Raw genomic sequence first — 21,460 nt, forward strand, 5'->3', positions numbered from 1 at the left:
GCACTCCAGCCTGGGCAACAGAGCAAGACTCGTCTCAAAAACAAAACAAAACAAAACAAACAACAACAACCACAACAAAAAACCCAGAAAGTCCAAGCATGTACCAGCACTAAAGTACTTACTGGTCATGTGCCTACAGCAAATTTCTTAATTCCACAAAATGTATAGTGGTATTGGTAGATTTAAATATATTAATTTGGGGCCGGGTACAGTGGCTCATGCCTGTAATCCTAGCACTTTGGGAGGCTGAGGATCACCTGAGGTCAGGAGTTCGAGACCAGCCTGGCCAATATGGAGAAACTCTGTCTTTACTAAAAATACAAAAATTAGCTAGGTGTGGTGGTGTGCACCTGTAATCCCAGCTACTTGGGAGGCTGAGGCATGAGAATCACTTGAACCTGGCAACCAGAGGTTGCAGTGAGGTGTGATCCTGCCACTTCACTCCAGCCTGGGCGAAAGGGCGAAACTCCTGTCTCTAACTAACTAACTAACTAAATAAATAAAAAGACATTACTTTGGCTGGGTGTTGTGGCTCATGCCTGTAATCCCAGCACTTTGGGAGGCCAAGGCGGCGGGGGAGGGGGGGGGGGGTCTCTTTTGAGGCCAGGAGTTCGAGACCAGCCTGGGCAACATAGTGAGACCCTATCTCATTTAAAAAAAAAGTTCCCCAGGATTTTAATTGACTTTAAGATGTGCAACTAGAAAAACTACCTTAGACAAAATTAGTTAAAAGACAAGCAGCAGACAAGGAAATGATATTTGTAACATACATAATTAGCAAAGAAGTATATTCAGAATGTAGAAAGTATTTCTACAAATGAATAAGAACAATAGAAAAACAGACAAAGGTTATTCCAAGGCAATTTTCAGATGAGGAAAACTATAGCTAATAAAGAGTGAAAGATACCTTGAACTTACTTGTTATCAAGGAAATGTCAATTAAAACAATTTTACCATTTCTCACTTATTAGATTGTGAAAAAGTATGAGCACATCAAGAGTTACGAAGGAGTAGGGAATTGGGAATTCTCATATTCTGCTGGAGGGAATGTTTATTAGGATAGTCATTTTGGAGAGTAATATTGAAAATGTGCCATATTCTGAAATTTTACTTGTTTATACTCCAAGAAAAACTCTTATACATGTGGGCAAGAGGCATTTACAAGGATGTACTAATATTTCTTAAAGTGTTATTGGTGTGTGGATGACTTGTCTGTGTATCACCAAGACTCCTGGTTAAACTGGCCCTATCCCATACCTACTGTATCAGTCAGGGTTCTCCAGAGAGAAACAGAGTCAATAAGATATATACATAGATATATAAGAGGAGATTTATTATGAGAATTGTCTTATGTGATTATGGAGGCCAAGCAGTCTTACAGTCTGCCTTATGCAAGCTGGAGAACAAGGCAAACTGGTGGTGTAATTTGATCTGAGTCCAAAGGCCTGAAAACCAGGAGCTCCAATGTCCCAGGGCAGCTCAAGAAGAGAATTCACCTTTCCTCTGAATTTTTGTTCTATTTAGGCCCTCAATGGATTGGACGATGTTCACCCGCGTTGGTAACGGCAGATCTTTTTTTTTTGAGATGGAGTCTCACTCTGTCACCCAGGCTGGAGTACAGTGGTACAATCTCAGTTCACTGCAACCTCTGCCTCCTGGGCTCAAGTGACCCTCCTGCCTCAGCCTCCTGAGTAGCTGGGGTTACAGGCACTCACCACCACGCCTGGCTAATTTTTTGTATTTTTAGTAGAGATGGGGTTTCACCATGTTGGCCAGGCTGGTCTCAAACTCCTGACCTCGTGATCCGCCCCACCTCGGCCTCCCAAAGTGCTAGGATAACAGGTGTGAGCCGCTGTGCCTGGCCGATAAGGACTAGTTTTTAGACATAATCACACCATCATTATATCTAAATGAATTAACATTACAATAATTTGTTTATATGAGCATGTATCCAGTCAGTATTGACAAAATCCAGTGTTCATATTTCTCCAATTGTCTCATATTTTTAGTTTTTTGTTTTTATTTATTTATTTATTTATTTATTTATTTATTTATTTATTTTTTGAGACAGGGTCTCATTCTGTCTCCCAGGCTGGAGTGCAGCGGCATGATCTCAGCTCACTGCAGCCTCAACCTCCCGGGCTCAAGCGATCCTCCCAACCTCTGCTTCTTGAGTAGCTGGGACTACAGGAGCCCCACCGTGCCTGGCTAATTTTTTTGTACTTGTAGAGGTGGGGTTCCATCATGTTGTCCAGGCTAGTCTTGAACTCCTGAGCTCACTGGCCTCCCAAAGTGCTAGGATTACAGCATGCGCCACCGCACCTTACCTACAGTTTGTTTGAATCAAGATTGAAATGAGCCAGGTGCCGTGGCTTGTGCCTGTAATCCCCCCACTTTGGGAGGCCGACGCAGGTGGATCACTTGAGTCCAGTTCAAGACCAGCCTGGGCAACATGGCAAAACCCTGTCTCTACGAAAAATACGAAAATTACCTGGGTGTGCTGGTGTGCACCTGCAGTCCCAGCTACTCAAGAGGCTGAGGTGGAAGGATCACTTGAGCCTGGGAGGTCGAGGCTGCAGTGTGCCGTGATTGCACTACTACACTCCAGCCTGGGCAACAGAGAGAGACCCTGCCACAAGAAAAAAAAATGAAATGAAGTTCATACACTGCCATTGATGAACATGTCTTTTAAGTCTTTTCTAATCTATTGATTCCCCTCCTATTTTTTTCTAATAAGTTGTTTGTTGAAGAAATGTATTTGTTAAATGTTGAATTTTTCTTATAATTTGTTTTCTTATAATTTATTTGTTTATTCTTATCTTTCATTTGTCCTTTAGAGTTTCTCATCAACTGGATTTTGTCGACCGCATCCCTGTGGTTTCATTGATATGTTTCTCTGTTTCCTGTATTTCCTGTAAACTGGTAGTTAGAGCTAGAAGGTTGATCAAACTCAGGTTCGATTTTTTTTTTTTTTTTTTTTTGTCTAGTAGCATTTTGTCCTTCCATCTTGAGGCATGTTTCTGGTTTTCTCTCTGCTTAGCAGCCACTGATGATCATTGCCAAGGTCCATTAATTCATTAGATGTTGCAAAATGGTGATATTTTGCAGTCGACAAAATCCAAAATGGTGATATTCTAATTTCATCAGGACTTCTTCATGTATTAGTTGGAATACTTCTATTAAAAGGAAGGTCCCTTCGTCAACTATTTGGTTACTCTGAGGAGTAGATCTTACAGGCTTCATCTCTTTTCCTTCACTAGTTTTCAAAATATTGAGTTGGTTCCCTAGCATTCTCCAAAAGTGATCACTTAAAAAATTGAAATATGACTCTTATACTATCAAATTCACCCTTTTAAAGCATACATACGTCACTAATTTCTAGTACATTTACAAAGTTGTGCAACCATCACCACTAGTTGATCATTTTTAAAGTCTCATAAATTCATTAACATATCCACTATGTTTCACTCCATAGCAATTTTTTTTGACATCCAAATTTTCTTAATGTTAGACAACCTAGTAAGCTTGGACACTTTCTTCTTTTGCTTTCTGCTATAAGGAGATGTTCCTGGCTTATCTTATACTTTCCTGCTCCAGCCCTGGAATCAATCACTTCTCCCTTTCCTTTGGTGGGAAACTGTAGAGGCCCCAACTTGGACACCAGGGGTGCTCACTGCTACTGCTCATTGTTTCTAGGCCTCTATATTGATTTTTTTATCTCTTTAGTGGAGCTAGTTTGTTTGCTGTGCCCTGTGATTTATAATCCATGAAGAATTTGGCTATTATTTTCAGGAATTAAACAATGTCTTGTTCGACTAATGACTCATGTAAAAAGCACTGCTTGAAAATCACCTATTTGCCAGTCATTGTTTATTTTAAAATTATTCTCCTTGGGGAGAGTGTGTGGCTTAAGGGCTCAGATGAAAAATTCTTACTTGGCATTAATTATGGCCAACTGAATTCCAACAGAAGATGCAACTTGCTCACGCTAAGTATAACCTAAGTATCAGGTGTCAGATAAATGGTTAATTTTTGTAGGGCATGCTTAGTTCAATAAAACTAGGGCCTTTCTAGGGGAAGATAAATATTTTTTAATGTTTGGGATACAAAAAAAAAAAAAGAATTACCACAACTTTATTCAAGAAGGTCTACATTTTCTCATAAGCCAATAATTTATTGCTTCTTATTTGAATTCCCATCAGTCTCCGATGTGGAGTGAAAATCAACAGCTTCTTTTCTGACTAATCTTTCTCTGGAAAAATGATTGAAAGGCCTTCTATCGTTTCTGGCTCAAGGACCTATAAACATGTCAGAGATTTTTAGTTAATTTATTAAAACACTGTCAAAACCTTGAGTAAATGCTTTTAACTATCTGATGTACATTAACAGCTCTGAAGGAACAAATACATTTTAGCACGTAATCAAAATTCCTTTTACTGCTTTGAAACCAGCTATTTTGTATTCATAGCATTCTCTTTTGAAATGTTCTGCTCTCGACCTCCCTAGATAAAATTTCCTTTTATTATGTTTACTTAAGTGAGAAAATGAAAGTACTTAGGAATGTTTTTATTTTGCCTTACACAGCCTCCTTATTCGAGTTCCCCAAGGGCAAGCACATCTTTGTTACTTCCTGTGCCCAGAATTCTAAAGGTCCCTAATACGAAAACAATTATCAAGGCAAGATAGGCTGCAGTAGGTCCTTTAAGTGCAAGATGTCTGGTGCTTAATTACCAAATGCTTTCAAGGATCTTAGGTGTCCTCAAGGTCCTATTGTGAGTACTTTCATAAAATGCATTTTGTATTTTGTCACATCAAACAATTTCTGATCTCTGCTGTTTACACTTCCTTTTCATCTTCACTTTATCATGAGTATAATACTAAGTGTACTTCTAGTGAAATGATTTTTACCATTGTTCTTTTACCAGTTAAACAATGTTCTTTACAGACTTCCATAAATGGGCTTAAAGTACAACTTTACCTTTTTTTAACTAAAAAAAATATAGTTGACCTTATCTGTATAGTCATCTATAAAATAACTGGACTTTATAAAGTTTGCTGGACTTTAATAAAGGTTTATCTAATCTAATAGAACTAGGCCATCCTTTCTTTGTTTCCCACCAAAGTTAACAGTCTCTTCCTGTATGAAAAGTAATGACAAAGGGCTCTTTGAAAGTATCAATCCCTAAACTACTTGTGATCTTTTAAACTGAGAAAACTTCTTTTTCTTTCATGCTCCTTGGACACTGTTTTCTTAAGTGCTTTACACTGGTGGATGTATAAGTATTTTTGATGGTAATTATGGAAAAACTAACAAGAATGGTGACATTAGGTTTTTCTGTCTTGAACATGCTGCTTACAGTTGCATGGATGAAGTGAGGCTCTATTCTTCTTCTTTTTTTTTTTTTTTAATAGAGACGAGGTCTCACCATGTTACCCAGGCTAGTCTTGAACTCCTGGGCTCAAGTGATCCTCTCGCCTCGGCCTCCCAAAGTGCTGTGATTACAGGACTGAACCAGGGAACCTGGCCTCCATTCTTGCCATACCGTAGCATCACACTGAGGCCCTTGGAAAGTACTTAAACGCTGATTATCAATGTTTTGAAATATTAATGTGGGCGGCCGGGCACGGTGGCTCACGCCTGTAATCCCAGCACTTTGGGAGGCCGAGGCGGGTGGATTACCTGAGGTCAGGAGTTGGAGACCAGCCTGGCCAACATGGTGAAACCCCATCTCTACTAAAAAAATAGAAAAATTAGCCAGGCGTGGTGGCAAGTGCCTGTAATCCCAGCTACTCGGGAGGCTGAGGCAGGAGAATCGCTTGAACCCCGAAGGCAGAGGTTCAGTGAGCCAAGATCACGCCATTGCACTCCAGTCTGGGAGTGCAAGAAATATTAATGTGGGCACACAAGCTATTTCTCATTTTTTTTTATTGAAACAACATTGCTTAGTTTCATTTACCTTTCTGTGAAATGTCTTTCTGTGAAAGTCTATCACAGCCTGATGTAATTTTTATAAACAATGAATACATGCTGTTACTATTTTTGAAAGGAAATTTAATCGCTTGGAAAAATTCAGACTAAAGCCCCGAGAGGAAAATTATCATCCAGTGCATGCTCAGAGATTTCTTCTTACTCTACTTTTGTTTTTCCTTTTTGAAAGCATTTGTGATTGAGAGATGTCTGAGGGAAGGGACAAATTGCATTCTGGGAGTTTTAAAGAGTTATGTCAGGCAACTAAAATACGTGGCCTCTGTATTTAAAGAGATTTCACACCAGTATACTATTTGCTTTATAATTTTTGTGTTTCTTATTGTTTAAAAATGCCTTTAACATTTAGTGCTGTGTTAAAGGATAGCATGCCAGATTCCAGATTAATGTAAAGACTCCACTATTTAACTTTTCCCTAGTAACTTTAAAACAGAGTTTGGGTTCCAAGTTCAGCATGGAAAGATAGCATAAACATTTAAACTAAGTAAAGTGCGAAATACACATTTTTGAAGTTGGTAAGTGCTGTTTAATCATTTTCCCCTTCTCTCCCAAGTCTTTTGAAACTTCAAAAGGCTTGTTTAAGCAGTGTGTTTAAAAAAAAAAAAATCCATACCCAATTGGGCTCCTCTCTATTAAGGAATGTGGAAAATTCATGATTTATGAAACGATGACACCAGTCTTACATTTCACAGGCTCCCAAGCTCTGAAACACGGGTACATAGGAAAATACACAGAAAATTCCTGTTCTTTGCAACGTGCGAAACGTTTCAAAATGCAACTTTGCTCATCTCCCTCCCCCGTACAAACTAATAAAATCAGTTTGGCTCTGACTGCTTATTTTTAAAAAGTAGACGGCCTGGTAGGTGCTCTAGGGATAACCCTTCTCCCCCCACTCCACCCCCCTTCCCGCACACCCATTTAGACTGGCAAGCCCGTTTTCATTTTATTTCAAAGATTTTTTTTTTTTAAGCGAAGGCAGGGGACGGCGGGGGTTGCTAAATTTATCTTCCTCCCCAGCCACGGGGATGAAGAAAACACATTTACTGCGGGCGGGGGTCTGAGGGCCTGCAAACAACTCGAGCTGGAGCCTCGGCCAGGACCGGCGCGAGAGGCGGTAGGTCTCCAGGGAGGCCCCCGGGGGGCGGCCGCGGCCCACGGGACATGGTGGGGGGCGGCCGGGCCGCCTGCCTCTCCGCGGGGTCGGCCGACCGCGGCCCCGCGCGGGCTTTACGGCCGAGGCGGCGGCGGCAGCGGCGCGTGTGTGGCGGCGGCGGGCGGGAGCGCGGAGGAGGTGGAAAGAAGGGGGGCGCTGTCACGGAGACTCCGGCCGCCGGAGACCCCGCCGCAGCGAGGCCACTGGGCTCCCCGGTCGCGGGGCGGGAGCGGCGCCGACACGGGGTGCCAGGAGGACCCACCGGGCGGAGGAGGGGGCCTGTCTACCCTTCCGCATTTTCCTGGGTCTCTCTCCCGGGCGGTGACGTGACGTGCTGACGGCGGGCCCGTGCCGGGGAGCTGGGCCGCTTTTTGTCAGCTCCGAGCTCGGCCCCTCCTCCCTCCCTCCGCCCGCCCCACCAGCCGGAGCCCGGCCCAGTGCTCCAGAGAAAGGCCGGCCTGCAGCACCCGCCACCGTCGCCGGCCGCCCGCACGTCCGTCCGGTGAGTCCCGGGTGCCGCCGCGGCCGCGGGGCCTAGTGCGCGCACAGCGGCCTGGTCTCGGCCTGGTCGGCGGCCCGCAAGGCGCCCTCCCGCGCTAGGCCGGGCGGCGTGGCGCGCGGCGCCGAGCAGGCCCCGAGGAGGCCGCAGTTAGGCCCGGGGAGGAGCCCGGCTGCCCCGAGCGGCGGCGGAGGCGCGCTCCGTAAGCGGGCGGGGGTTGGGGGAGGGTCGCCCGGTTGTGCCGGAGGCGGTCGAGGGGCCCCGGGTCGGCTCCGCGGCCGACCTGGGGCACCGCGCCGGGGTGAGGCCTGGCGAGGAGGCGAAGGCTGCAGGCGTGAGGTGAAGGCCGCAGGCCGGCCGGGCCGATTTTCGCTATGTAAATATCGGTGAGGGGGGGGGAGGGACGGGGGACAAGATGGCGGCGGCTCGGCGCCTGCTGCAGGGGACGATAGAGGGGGTTGCCGGGAGGGGGAGCCGCCATCTTGGAGGCGGTGTCTGGAGAGAAAATTCCGCTACAGCCCGTGAGGGGGGGTGGGAGAGCGGGCGGCGGCGGCAGCGGCGCCGGTGACGGGCCCCGGAGGCCCGGCGCGGCGGCGTGTGCGCGCGGAGGGGCGTGCTCGCTCCCCGTGGCGGCCATTGCCCTTGCCGCCATGATGAGCGCTCGGGCTCCAGGCGCTCGGCGGCAGCGCCACCTTCCTGCCTTGCCTCCCGCAGCCCCGTGACTGGCTGCAGTTTCCGCTGCGTTTCAGCTGAGCTGCCGCAGGCGGCCACCGCCGCCGCCCGGACGCCGGGACCGTTTCACCCTCAGCGCCCCTGGCCCTGCGCCTTCCCCCGCGCCTGTAGCCACCCGAGGGCAGTCGGGGCAGGTGGCATTCCGGACACCTGGGCTTACCAGGGCATACGGGACCCCAGGAAATGTTATTTTTGCTTAAGTCAAATCATATGTGGCTGCTAAGGTGCTTTCGATGCAGTTGTTTTTCCAACAATCTTTGCCGCCCCGAGTATCTGAATAAAGGAAGAAAAATAAAGATTGATGGGAAAGTTTTTGCCATTCTTTTGTCCTATAGGGAAAAAAATTGCACAACACGAGAGCGGAGGAATAAAATTTTGAATCATTCGTACTCATTTATGTGGAAACAACTTTCTTGAAAAACGATTTAAGTAGTGATCTGTTGGTGGTATTTTTTTAAATCGAGGAATAAGGGCAGACTTTTTTATTTTCTTATTGGAGGACAACTTAGTGTGGTGCATATTTATTGTGCATTTGCCTGTCATGGTATTTCGATTTTTCATTTGTGAAGTTTTAAGGCGGAGTTTCATCCCCTAACGTACTTTTTTGATTGCACACTGTGCAACTTTCTTGATAAACTCGGAGCCTACTGTTAGCGATGCACCGTGCTAGATGCTAAGAAACATTAAAAAGGTTCTTGTAATGCAGACGGTGGCTGCAAGAAGTCTCATGTTTAGAGGTAGGTGGGGCAAGGTGAAATGCAGTAAAGTGAGAGGTACAACTAATTACTGGGATTTCCGAGGGAAGCAAGGTTGCCATTGGAGGATCAGGGAGGGACGGGTTCCTGAAGTATTAATAGGTGGCATTTTGAGAAGGTTACCGAGGGATGGGTAGGACTTTGTTAGGTAGAGGTGGAGGTGGAGAAAGGACGTTTCAAGGGTGAAGCTTCTTCAGTAAACAGTAAGTATTTACAGTTTGGCAAAAGTGGATGGTATAGGTAGGGGAGTGGTGGGAATTCAGGCTAGAAAAGTTAGATTGCAGAAGGGCTTGCTTGCCAGGTGGAGGGGCTTATACTCAATGGGGTAGGCAGCGGGGGTGCCCTCAACTAGAAGAGTGATGGCACACCTGAGCTGCACCTTGTTATTTACTTATTTTTTATTTTGAGACAGGTTCTTGCTATATTGCCCCAGGCTGGTCTCGAACTCCTGGGCTCAAGCCGTTCTCCCGCCTCCCACTGCCCGCCTGTCACTGCCGTCTGTTCCCTGAGCTGTGCTTTACGGTACTTAGTAGTTCCATTGGACTAGGAAAAGTTTCAAAGTTGAAAAATAATGAGAGTAGTAAGTTGATCAGTGTTTTCATTATCAGAACGATTACAAGAATGTTCAGAAGTTAAGCAAATTTTGCTACTTTTGGAACGATGCGTCTCTATTAAGACAGCTGCTCCTTTTTTCTATCCTGATTTCTCATCCGAAATAATCTTTTGCTCAGAGTTGTCAGAATTTCTATGGTACACAAATAGGGAGGGGTTTCTAACATTTCATTTACCATGGTTGAAAAGTACAGGACTAGTGCTGTGGGTTATTTGACGAAAATGAGAAATGAGTATTCCCGTGGTAATTTTTTTTTTTTTTTGAGACTGAATCTCACTCTGTCGCCCAGGCTGGAGTGCAGTGGTGTGATCTTGGCTCATTGCAACCTCTGCCTCCCGGGTTCAAGTAATTCTCCTGCCTCAGCCTCCCGAGTAGCTGGGACTACAGGACCCTGCCACCATGCCTGGTTAATTTTTGTATTTTTAGTAGAGACAGGGTTTCATGTTGGCCAGGCTGGTCTCGAACTCCTGACCTCAAGTGATCTGCCTGCCTTGACCTCCCAAAGTGCTGGGATTACAGGCATGAACCACCGTGCCCTGCCTGTTTCCTAGAATTTTATGATGGAAACCTTTAGGTGGCATAGATACCCATTTTCAGTTTTTCCATTTTTCTAGACTGTAACAGGTCGTGAGCAGCGGTGCTCCATGAAAGGGCTGGAGGGAATGAGAGTCTCATGTTTATTATAAAGGGCTATGGTTTAGAAAAGTTCGAGAAACAGTGCATTGCATGAGGCTGACTAGAAGCAAGTTGAGAAGGCGGGCTGTGGTTGTTGAGGTGTTAAGGGTAAACATAAACTTAGAAGAACCAGGTGCTTTTATATTTTGACAGCTGGGAAAGACATAGAAGAACTATTAAGAAGATAGAATTGTTTTGCTGCGCAGTACAGCAACAGTGGATGTTCAAGATTAAGATTAGAGTCAAGTTGTGTGATTAAGACAGGTAAGTGTGTAGTTTAGTTTCAATTAGAAATGGTTAAATATAAAATTATTTTTGCCTGAAAGGGTAGACCTTGAAACTTTGGAAAACTGACTGGTGGAACACCTTCGAACCCAACCACCCTGGATGAATAAGGTGTTAGTTTTTAATTTCTGTGTATTTTTCAGATAGATGCAGATTTCTTTTTTTAAAAAAACATGCTCACGAATGTGTTACAAATTTTTTTTTCCACATTGCTTTTTGTAAATGCTTACTCTCATTGCAAATGCTTACTCTCACTTAACCCATTTAGACTGATTCTGTCACTGATAATCTTCTTTGTATTATTTGTTCTTGTGTACACTGGCAATTCCAAACTTTTTTTCACTCTTAAAACTACTCAACGGGTCCTTGAAATCTCTCATCTTCAGCAAAGATTACCCAGTCTTTCACTTCACTGAGAAGGGTAGATGGCCATCTGATAAAGAGCCAAGTCTCCCCTCCCTTCCCCTTCATGCCTTTCCTGTCTTCACCTAGGCCTTCCTCCTTTTGCCGCAGGGGAGGTTGCAGGAGGGATTGCTGTCTCACAAGCCCCACTGCTGCTCTGAGCCTGCTCTTCACCCTGGCTGCCTCCTTAGGGACCAAGCTCTGTGCGTGATGCCGTCTCTTGCATCATTAACCTCTCTTTACAAATATTCCTAGGTTTGCTCATCTTACAAAAGCCTCACCTGTCTTCACTTTCTTTGCACCCCACTTATTCTTAAATCCAGTATTACCCAAATTGGGAAACTTGCACAGCATGTTAACAGGTGTGTTATATAAAAGTGCTCTGTGTTTCAGAAACTCTCTGTGCCTTCTCTGTCTTCTATGGTGGGATTCCCCTTAATTTATCATTTAATGTATTATATTTGAACTGTGTGTTTATATTTTTTCCTTCTACACTGTGAATATAGAGACAAGTTCTGATTTATCTTTGTCTCCAAGCAGTACCTGGCATATGGACCATTATCTCTCAAAGCAATAATTTCGGTTACTGGGTACAGAGAATTCTACGTAGTTAATAGTTTTCAGCTGTTCAAAAATCAGGTATCCAGTCAGTGTGTTTTTTGACTCAGGGACATACATATTAAGGCACACTTATTAGGGCACCAGGTCAAGGAGTAACCCCTCCCACCACCCCTTATCTGATTGGAATATGGCCAGCCTATTCTTATTCCTGCCAAGTTATTTTTCCAGACAACATTTTATAAAACCCAGGTATCTTGTAATTGTATTTTACTCAAAGGAAGTATACTCTAAGGAAATTGTGTGGCCTTGAGGTACACAGCCATTAGGCATTTAAAAAATATATTTAAAAAGTTTTATGGAATATTTTTAAATTACTGAAAATCAGAATCACCCAGATTTAAGAGATCTTAATATTTTGCTACATATTTGATTCATATCTTTTTGTTGTTTAAAGAAATAAAATCTCACAGATTCAAAGGGTCCCTCCCCATCCCCTTCCTGTCTTCTTTTCTCCAGAAGTAACCACCTGTCCCAATATGTATGTACCAAAACAATATCAGGTATTGCTTGTGTGTTTAACTTTACATAAACAGTATCATAACCATACCTTATATATTATTTTTACTTAACAGTGTGTTTTTGAGATTTATCCATGTAATGTGTTTAGTCCAGCAGTTTTCAAAGTGTGCTGCAGGGATTCCTGGGGATCCCTAAGATTCTTTCAGGGGGTCCATGAGGTCAAAACTATTTTCATAATACTTTTTATTTGCTCTTTTCACCCACATTTTCCTGTACACTATAGGAATACTGTACAGAGGCTGCATGACATATGATGTCATAATAGATAGAATGCAGAAACACTTACGGGAATCCAGCCGGTTTCTATTAAGCCAGACATGAAAGAGATTTGCAAAAATGTAAAACAGTGCCACTTGTTTTACTATTTTTTTTTGTTTAGAAAAATAGTTATTTTAAAATAAATATGCAGCCATAAAAAAGAACGAGGTCGTGTCTTTTGCGGAAACATGGATGGAGCTGGAGGCTATTATCCTTAGCAAACTAACGCAGGAACAGAAAACCAAATACCGAATATTCTCACATACAGGTGGGAGCTAACTGATGAACACAAAGAAGGAAACGAGACACTGGGGGTCTACTAGAGGGTGAAGGGAGGGAGGAGAGAGAGGATCAGAAGAGATAACTATTGGGTACTGGGCTTAAATACCTGGGTGATGAAATAATCTGTACAATAAACCCCCGTGACAGAAGTTTACCCATGTGACAAACCTGCACATGTACTCCCGAACCTAAAATAAGAGTTTTAAAAAAATCTCAACAAAAGGGAAAAAAGGAATAAAGAAAAAAAGTATTTTTATGGGTTAATAAGTGCTTTTAAATATCTCAGTTTTAATTTCTAGTATGATAAACATCTATAGATACGACCCACGTAAAAACTCTTTGTGGTTCTTAATTTTTGTTTTTTGTTTTGTTTTTTAAATTTTATTGTGATCCTTAATTTTTAAGAGTGCAAAGGAGTCCTGAGACCACGAAGTTTGAAAACTACTGATTCCATTCATTTTATTTGTATTTCAGTGTATAAATAAATATACTGTGGTTTATTTATCTTTTCTTCTTGGAGGGACCGATAGAAACTGTTTGCAGTTTCTGAATTTCAAACACTACTGCTATGAACATCCTTATACATGGTTTGTCTTTCTTGGGATTATATACATATAGTAGAAGTAGAATTGCTTCATTTAAGAAGTCTGTGCATTATCAACTTTACTGGGAATTGCCAAAATGGCAAATTGTCTTCTATTTGACACTCCCGCTGTGTTTGATCCCGTTTCTCCAAATCACTGCCAAAGGATTAGATTTTGCAATTTTTTCCCAATCTGTTGGGTATAAATGGCATCTCCTTGCTATTTTCATTTTGCATTTCTAAGATTACTAGTGAGGTTGACCTTTTTTCCCCATGTATTTATCGGCCATCAGAGTTTTCTATTAATTGCTTGTGCATACCTTTGGTTCATTTTTCTGTTGGATTGTTGCCTCCTCCTTATTGGTATATGGGTTTTATTTATTTATTTATTTATTTGAGATGGAGTCTTGCTCTGTTGCCCAGGCTGGAGTGCAGTGGCACGTGGTCTGGGCTCACTGTAGCCTCTGCCTCCCAGGTTCAAGCAATTGTCCTGCCTCAGCCTCCTGAGTAGCTGGGATAACAGACGCCTGCCACCATGCCCGGTTAATTTTTGTGCTTTAAGTAGAGACGGGGTTTCACCATGTTGGCCAGGCTTGTCTCGAACTCCTGACCTCAAGTGATCGGCCCTCCTTGGCCTCTGAAAGTGCTGGGATTACAGGTGTGAGCCACTGTGGCTGGCTGGTTTATGGGTTTTATATTCTGGATACTAATTTGTGATTATATACACTGAAAATATCTTTTCCTGGTCTGTGGCTTGGCTTTTAGCTCTGTTTGTGGAAAGTTTTTTATGTAGGACTTCATAATATGATGGTAGCCAGTTCTCAGTTTTTTTCATTTATGGCTTGTGTTTTCTTATGTCTTCAATACATTCTTCCCTTACCCCAAGGTTGTAATGATACTGTGCTGTTTCATATTTAGGTCGTTAATTCACCGGAGTTTTTTGTATATTGTGTGACGTAGGAATCTAATATCTTTTTCATGTGGATTTATCAAATGGTTCAGCGTTTCTCCCCACTGATTTATAATGCAACTCCTGAGATATATCATATTCCCACATATGTATCTGTTTTTAGTTTCTCTCTTTTGGTTTCATTGGTCTGTTTGCCTATCTCTATATCTATACTATCCTGATTTAATAATAGCCTTTTTTTTTTTGGAGACGGAGTTTTGCTCTGTCGCCCAGGCTGGAGTGCAGTGGTGCGATCTCAGCTCACTGCAAGCTTCACCTCCTGGGCTCACGCCATTCTCCTGCCTCAGCCTCCCGAGTAGCTGGGACTACAGGCGCCCGCAACCACGCCCGGCTAATTTTTTGTATTTTTAGTAGAGACGGGGTTTCACCGTGTTAGCCAGGATGGTCTCGATCTCCTGACCTCATGATCTGCCCACCTCGGCCTCTCAAAGTGCTGGGATTACAGGCGTGAGCCACTGTGCCCGGCCTTAATAATAGCTTTATAATTAAAACTGAGTATATCTTCTTTTCCTTCAGGATTATTTTAGCTGTTTTCCTCCCTTTGCTTATTTTGGGGTTAGTTTGTCATTTTCTGTGAAAACTGTTGGATTTTTATATTTGCCTCAAATTTATAGAATAAATACATAGATTCATGTAGATAAATGCTAATAGAGCTGGGATTTGAATTCTGGGTATGTGCTACTACTTTTCATAAAGCTCTTGCACAACTTTTGTTAGATATTTTTGTTAGATACTGTGTAATTTTTGTTGTCATTGTGAATAGGATTTTCTTTTAGTTATAGTTGCTATTATTGCTGATGTATAAGGATCACTGTTGACTTATATGTATTGATCACGTAACCTTGCTGAACTCTCATCATATTTCATAGATTCTGAGGTACACTTTTCCCCCCTACATCTTCACATATCTGAAGTCAAAATAGATCTTTGATGGTGTCCCATAATCACTGTTGTCTAGGCAGCAGTCATGATGTAGTTATCATTGCTTGCACATGCACAAACTTGGTCAGGGCTCTTCATTTTGTCATCACTTTAAATGAGTATGTGCATTGCTGTATTGTTATTTCATGCCAAACAATAAAACTGGAGGCGGAAGAAATTGCAAAGTGGGTGTCTGCCTTGAAAGAAAATCCCATAAATAATAATGGATCATTTTAAGAAGTGCTGCATCACCAACACTCTTATTGGCAGAGCACAATATTGTTAGCAACAGTTGAACAGTTTTGAGTGGAAGAGCAATCCATAGTAGGACCTTGAATGTGAAGTTGTAGGAATACCTTACCAATTTATTTTGCTTCTTTTTTTTCTGTCGCCCAGGCTGGAGTGCAGTGGCACGATCTCAGCTCACTGCAACCTCCGCCTCCCGGGTTCAAGCAATTCTCCTGCCTCAGCGTCCCGAGTAGCTGGGACTACAGGTGCACGCTGCCACGCCCAGCTAATTTTTTGTATTTTAGTCGAGACAGGTTTTCACTGTGTTTCCCAGGCTGTTCTCGAACTCCTGAACCCAGGCAATCTGCCCGCCTCGGCCTCCCAAAGTGCTAGGATTACAGGCATGAGCCACTGTGCCCGGCCAATTTCTTTTGCTTCTGTATACACAAGATATGATAAAAGTCTGTCTAAATAAGTCTGAATTGTCTTGATAAATCTAGAATGAAAATCCTAGATAATAAGAAAATACTGTATCAGTTTAATTGGCAATGTTTTTTTCTTAGTCATGTAAAATAAGGGTACAGCTTACAATTGGTATCTTCAGAGTCAGTGAAATGTAGTAGTAATAACAGTTCATGCCGGGTGTGGTGGTTCACGCCTGTAACCCCAGCACTTTGGGAGGCCGAGACGGGTGGACTTTGTCTCAAACAAACAAACAAACAAAACAAACCAAAAACAAAAAAACACAGTTCATAATTCTTTTGTATATAGTTTTCATGTCTGTGAATAATACAGTTTTATTTCTTCTTTTCCATTCCTTCTTGCCTCCTGTTTCTTGTTCTGGTTTTACTGCATTGACTAATTCCTCTATTGAAGTGTTCAGTAGAAGCATTGATAATGGGCATCCTTCTCTAGTTACTTTAATGGAGTGCTTCTAATGTTTTATCATTAAATATGATATTGTAGTGGGCTTTTTTGAGAGGGGGTGCTGATGATATTTTTATTTATTTATTTATTTTGAGCCGGGGTCTTGCTCTGTCGCCCAGGCTGGAGTGCAATGGTGCGATCTCGGCTCACTGCAACCTCCGCCTCCTGGGTTCAAGCCCTTCTCCTGCCTCAGCCTCCCAGGTAGCTGGGACTACAGGCATGTGCCACCATGCCCGGCTAATTTTTTTTTTTTTTTTTGTATTTTTAGTAGAGATAGGGTTTCACCATCCTGGCCAGGCTGGATGATATTTTTTAGTTGCAGTTCTCTTTTACTTATCATTTTAGAGTTTCTACTGTGAGCAGGAGTTTAATTTTGCTAATGCTTTTGCTACATCTATTGGCGTGATGAAGTCCATTAATCTTCTATTTTATTTTTAGTTTTTTTTATTTTTCATTTTGAGATGGGGTCTTGCTCTGTCGCCCAGGTGGGAGTGCATGGCTCACTGCAGTCTTGACCTTCTGGGCTCAAGCCATCCTCCCACCTCAGCCTCCCAAGTAGCTGGGACCATAGGCATGTGCCACCATGCTGGCCTGATTTTTTAATTTTTTTGTAGAGACGGTCTTGCCTTGTTGCACAGGCTAGTCTTGAACTCCTGGTCTCAAGCAGTTGTCCTGCCTGGGCCTCCAAAAGAGCTGGGATTATAGGCGTGAGCTACAGCGTGGGTCCTACATTTTCTATTTTAAACTATTTTTCGATTCCCGGATATTCGCATATCTTTGTTATTGCCATGTACTTTTCCTTTTTTATGTAATCTTGTTTGGATAACAAAGTTGTATTAACCTCATAAGATAAATTGGGGAGTATTTTTTTCTTTTTTCTTTTAAACAGTTGCTGTTTAATAGAGACAATCTGTTTCTTTTCTTTTTTGGAGACAGAATCTCTCTCTTGTCGCCCAGGCTGGAGTGCAGTGGCACGATCTCGGCTCACTGCAATCTCTGCCTCCCTGGTTCAAGTGATTCTCCTGCCTCAGCCTCCTGAGTAGCTGGATTACAGGTGCCCGCCACCATGCCTGGCTAATTTTTGTAGTTTTTAGTAGAGATGGGTTTCACCATGTTGGCCAGGCCTCAGGTCTGGTCTCGAACTCCTGACCTCAGGTGATGGGCCTACCTTGACCTCCCAAAGTGCTGGGATTACAGACATGAGCCACCGTGTCCGAGCGAGACGATCTGTTTCTTAAAAGTAAGAACCCATCTGTGAGATTATCTGTGCTTGGTGTCTTTTGAGTGTAAATTTGTGGTTTCTGATTTGTTAATTGTTTCTTTCATGATGATAAGTCTTGTTTTAGCTGTTCTTGAGTTTTTTTGGTCATTTATACAAAATGAACAATTTTCTAGAAAAATATTAAATTTCAAATGCATTATTATAAAATACAGATTTCCCTGATGACTTTTAAAAACCTAATTTTGTTAGTTTGTTCCTTTTTTTCTGATCAGTATTGCCAGTAACTGCCTTTATTATTGGATTTTTTAACATAGTTATTTTTATTGATCCTTTCTATTTCTACTCCTGTGGTTAATATTTTCCTTCTGCTTTATTTGCATTCATTCTGACATTTAAAAATGTAAGTTAGAGGCTTAGCTCATTCATATTTAATCTATTTTTATAATATATATACTAAAAACTATAAAATTTTCTCTAGACTATAATTGGATGCTATTTAAAAAAATTGAAATGCTTTTTTTTTTTTTTTTTTGAGAGCGGGTCTCGCTCTGTCGCCCAAGGTGGAGTGCAGTGGCGCACTCTCGGCTCACTGTAACCTTTGCCTCCCGGGTTCAAGCGATTCTCTTGCCTCAGCCTCCTGAGTCGCTGGGATTACAGACGTGCACCAGCACACCTGGCTAATTTTTGTATTTTTAGTAGAGACGGGGTTTCACCATGTTAGCCAGGCTGGTTTCAAACTCCTGACCTCAGGTGATCCACCTGCCTCGGCCTCACAAAGTGCTGGGATTACAGGTGTGAGCCACTGAGCCCAGCCGAAATACACGTATTTATGGGGTAGAGTGATTATGTACATGTATACAATGTGTAATGGTCAAATCAGGGTAATTAGCATATCTGTCACACCAGCATTTATCATTTCTCTGTGTTGGGAACGTTCAGAATCCTTTCTTCTAGATATTTGAAAATACATAATGAATTATTTTTAACTATAATCACCCTACAGTGCTATAGAACACTAGAACTTATTCCCCCTATTTAGCTATAATTTGTATCTGTTAACCAAACTGTCCCTATCTCTGGATACTATGATTTTTGACATGAATTGGTTTTTATTATTTAGTTCTAAATATATTGTGATCTCCATAATTTTCCTGTTGCCCATTAAAATTATTTAGAACTTTGTATTTACAGGATTTTCTTTTTGTATTACTGTTATCTCTGTGATATTTATTTCTAATTTTATTGTATTATACTTGGGGAACATTGAGATGCAAAAATCAACTCTGTTTCTCTATACCAGCAGCAAACAATTTGAAAATCAAATTTGAAAACTAATATAATTTATAATAAGGTCAAAAAACATCTGATACCTTGAAATAAATCCAACAAAGCATACCAAGACCTTCAGTAAAAACCTTACTAAGAGAAATGAAAGAAGACCTAAATTAATGGCAAGAGATAACCATGTTCATTGGATTGGAAGTGTCAGTATTGTAAAGATGTCCGTTCTCTCTAAATTGATACATACAGAAATTCAGTGCAATCGCAATAAATATCTCAATAGGGCTGTTGCTGCTGCCACTGCTGCTTTTTTTTCTTTTGGATAGGCTAGTTCTCAAATTTACATGGAAAGGCACAGGGCCAAGAATGGCAAAGGCAATCTTGAGAAAAAGTTGGAAGACTTAACACTAACATATATCAACACTTATTATAAAGCTACAGTGATTAAATTAGTGGGCGCAAAGCCAGATTGACCAGTGGCACAGGATAGAGTCCAAAAGTTGACCTACACATACAAGGTCAGTTGATTTAAAGAAAGGTGTATTGGGATTTTGATTGAATGTAGAGGTTAATTAAGGGAGAAGTGATACTACTAATCTAACATATTCTTTTTTTTCTTTTTCTTTCTTTTTTTTTTTTTTTTTTAAAGACAGTCTTCCTCTGTCATCCAGGCTGGAATGCAGTGCAGTGGTGCAAATTTGGCTCACTGCAGCCTCTGCCTTCTGTGTTCAAGTGATTCTTCTTCTGCCTCAGCCTCTCGAGTAGCTGGGATTACAGGTGTGCGCCCCCATGTCTGCCTAGCTTTTGTATTTTTAGTAGAGACGGGGTTTCACCATGTTGGCCAGCCTGGTCTCGAACTCCTGACCTCAAGTGATCTACCTGCCTCAGCCTTCCAAAGTGCTGGGATTACAGGTGTGAGCCATTGCACCTGGCCCTAATGTAACATATTCAAGAGCAAGATTGCTTTCTCTATTTATTTGTCTAAAAAGGAAAAAAAAAAAAAAAAGAAATCTCTAGCTGGGCGTGGTGGCACATGCCTGTAGTCCCAGCTACTTGGAAGGCTGAGGCAGGAGAATCGCTTGAACCTGGGAGGCAGAGGTTGTGGTGAGCTGAGATCGTGCCATTGCACTCCAGCCTGGGCAACAAGAGTGAAACTCTGTCTCAAAAAACAAAAAAATCCCACACAGTAGAGTTTTTAATTACTCTTATCAGTGGGATTTTTTCATTCTTAGGTGTTTACATGAGAAAGCTTTTGTCTTCAAGTATATTAATTTTGTACCAGCACACCTTATGAATTCATACCGATAATAGTTTTTCAGTTGATTCTCTTGTATTTCCTAGATATAGCATATGCAAATAAGTTTAATTTCCTTCAAGTAATAATTATATCTTCTATTTCATCATCTTACCTAATTACACTGGCTGGCATTTGTCACACAATCCTATAATAATAGTATTAATGGCCATTCTTAATTTTGACTTTAGAGAGAATACTTCTAATGTTTTACCTTAGGTTTAATAGATGTCTTTTTGTTATAAAGTGATAACTGACATCATTCTCATATCCCAAAACACATGTTCTGACATGAACTGGTTTAAGATTGCATATACTTGAGTATTTTTTAAACAGCTTTATTGAGATAAAGCTATTATTAAATCTACCCTTTAAAATGTACATTTCAGTGGTTTTTTAGTAGATTCAGAGTTCTGTAACTATTATCACTAATTAGAACATTTTCGTCACCCCAAAAAGAAACCCTACACCTACTGGTAATCACTCTCCTCTCCCCGCTTCCTTCATCCCCTAGCAACCACTAATCTACCTTCTGTCTGTGTGGATTTGCTTGTTCCTGACGTTTCATATAAATGGAATCCTATAACGTGGTCTTTCGTGTCTGGCTCCTTTCACTTAGCATATTGTTTTCAAGGTCATCCATGTTTTAGCGTGTATCCTATTTATTTAATTTGTTAACTGTTAAAATATCTATCCCAATTTGACTCAAAAGTTTGCTTTAAATCAAAAGTAGGCGTTCAGTTTCAACTTTTCAGCATCTGTTGAGAATATCAGGCGTTTTTTTTTTTGACCTATTAATTTGGGCCATTATTTGGCTCCATCCTTGAATTCTAGAGTACCCATACTGTGCCAAGGTCTGTGGTGTGTGTGTGTGTGTGTGTACATGTACATGGATGTGCTTTTTTTTTTTTTTTTTTTTTTACATGACGGATCATATTTGCGGATACTTGACTTGGGATTCATAATTAACCAAGTTTGTAATTTGGTTAAATTATTTTTGTTAGGTTTTTTTTTTTTTTTTTTTTTTTTTTTTTTTGATACAGAGTCTCACTCTGTCGCCCAGGCTGGAGTGCAATGGCGCGATCTTGGCTCACTGCAACCTCTGCCTCCTGGGTTCAAGTGATTCTCGTGCCTCAGCCTCCTGAGTAGCTGGGACTACAGGCGCGAGCAACCACGCCCAGCTAAGTTTTGTATTTTTGGTAGAGATGGGGTTTCACCATGTTGGCCAGGCTGGTCTCGAACTCCTGACCTCAG

The 21,460-nt window shown here is 41.8% G+C and overlaps 1 protein-coding gene and 1 long non-coding RNA gene across 49 annotated transcripts in view, besides 8 other annotated features; one reads left to right on the forward strand and one right to left on the reverse strand.

Moving 5' to 3' along the window:
* ZFX-AS1 (ZFX antisense RNA 1) lies at positions 4,072-7,501 on the reverse strand. The gene is made up of 3 exons (NR_046657.1): positions 7,402-7,501; positions 6,600-6,689; positions 4,072-4,298 (listed from the first exon to the last, which is right to left on the reverse strand). It is a non-coding gene; the product is annotated as a ZFX antisense RNA 1 (long non-coding RNA).
* ZFX (zinc finger protein X-linked) overlaps positions 6,829-21,460 on the forward strand; it is a 67,274-nt gene continuing 52,642 nt past the window's right edge. For 7 of the 48 annotated variants that reach the window (XM_017029791.3, XM_047442458.1, NM_001178095.2 and 4 more), the window contains exon 1: positions 7,576-7,641. The gene's annotated coding sequence lies outside the window, so the exon portion shown is untranslated. Of the gene's footprint in view, positions 7,101-7,575; positions 8,015-8,256; positions 9,108-9,249; positions 10,678-17,448; positions 17,650-18,409; positions 18,424-19,561; positions 19,690-21,460 lie in introns of those variants that run through there. The other 41 variants (XM_006724513.4, NM_003410.4, XM_047442460.1 and 38 more) reach the window with 25 other exon arrangements.
* Positions 6,913-7,012: an enhancer, noted in NCBI's record as "active region_29499". NCBI's record gives its function as "activates an Ori minimal core promoter by ATAC-STARR-seq in GM12878 lymphoblastoid cells {active_cell/tissue: GM12878}" and the evidence as "EXISTENCE:reporter gene assay evidence [ECO:0000049][PMID:35858748]".
* Positions 7,123-7,482: a silencer, noted in NCBI's record as "silent region_20714". NCBI's record gives its function as "represses an Ori minimal core promoter by ATAC-STARR-seq in GM12878 lymphoblastoid cells {active_cell/tissue: GM12878}" and the evidence as "EXISTENCE:reporter gene assay evidence [ECO:0000049][PMID:35858748]".
* Positions 7,123-8,032: a biological region, named in NCBI's record as "NANOG-H3K27ac-H3K4me1 hESC enhancer GRCh37_chrX:24167489-24168302".
* Positions 7,219-8,032: an enhancer, noted in NCBI's record as "NANOG-H3K27ac-H3K4me1 hESC enhancer chrX:24167489-24168302 (GRCh37/hg19 assembly coordinates)". NCBI's record gives its function as "activates a minimal SCP1, AML or CMV promoter by ChIP-STARR-seq in naive H9 embryonic stem cells {active_cell/tissue: H9 hESC(naive)}" and the evidence as "EXISTENCE:reporter gene assay evidence [ECO:0000049][PMID:30033119]".
* Positions 7,543-7,952: a silencer, noted in NCBI's record as "silent region_20715". NCBI's record gives its function as "represses an Ori minimal core promoter by ATAC-STARR-seq in GM12878 lymphoblastoid cells {active_cell/tissue: GM12878}" and the evidence as "EXISTENCE:reporter gene assay evidence [ECO:0000049][PMID:35858748]".
* Positions 7,973-8,022: a silencer, noted in NCBI's record as "silent region_20716". NCBI's record gives its function as "represses an Ori minimal core promoter by ATAC-STARR-seq in GM12878 lymphoblastoid cells {active_cell/tissue: GM12878}" and the evidence as "EXISTENCE:reporter gene assay evidence [ECO:0000049][PMID:35858748]".
* Positions 8,073-8,582: a silencer, noted in NCBI's record as "silent region_20717". NCBI's record gives its function as "represses an Ori minimal core promoter by ATAC-STARR-seq in GM12878 lymphoblastoid cells {active_cell/tissue: GM12878}" and the evidence as "EXISTENCE:reporter gene assay evidence [ECO:0000049][PMID:35858748]".
* Positions 11,418-11,507: an enhancer, noted in NCBI's record as "active region_29500". NCBI's record gives its function as "activates an Ori minimal core promoter by ATAC-STARR-seq in GM12878 lymphoblastoid cells {active_cell/tissue: GM12878}" and the evidence as "EXISTENCE:reporter gene assay evidence [ECO:0000049][PMID:35858748]".

The sequence above is a fragment of the Homo sapiens genome, chromosome X, assembly GCF_000001405.40.
Source record: "Homo sapiens chromosome X, GRCh38.p14 Primary Assembly".
In the NCBI taxonomy this organism is placed as follows: Eukaryota; Metazoa; Chordata; class Mammalia; order Primates; family Hominidae; genus Homo; species Homo sapiens.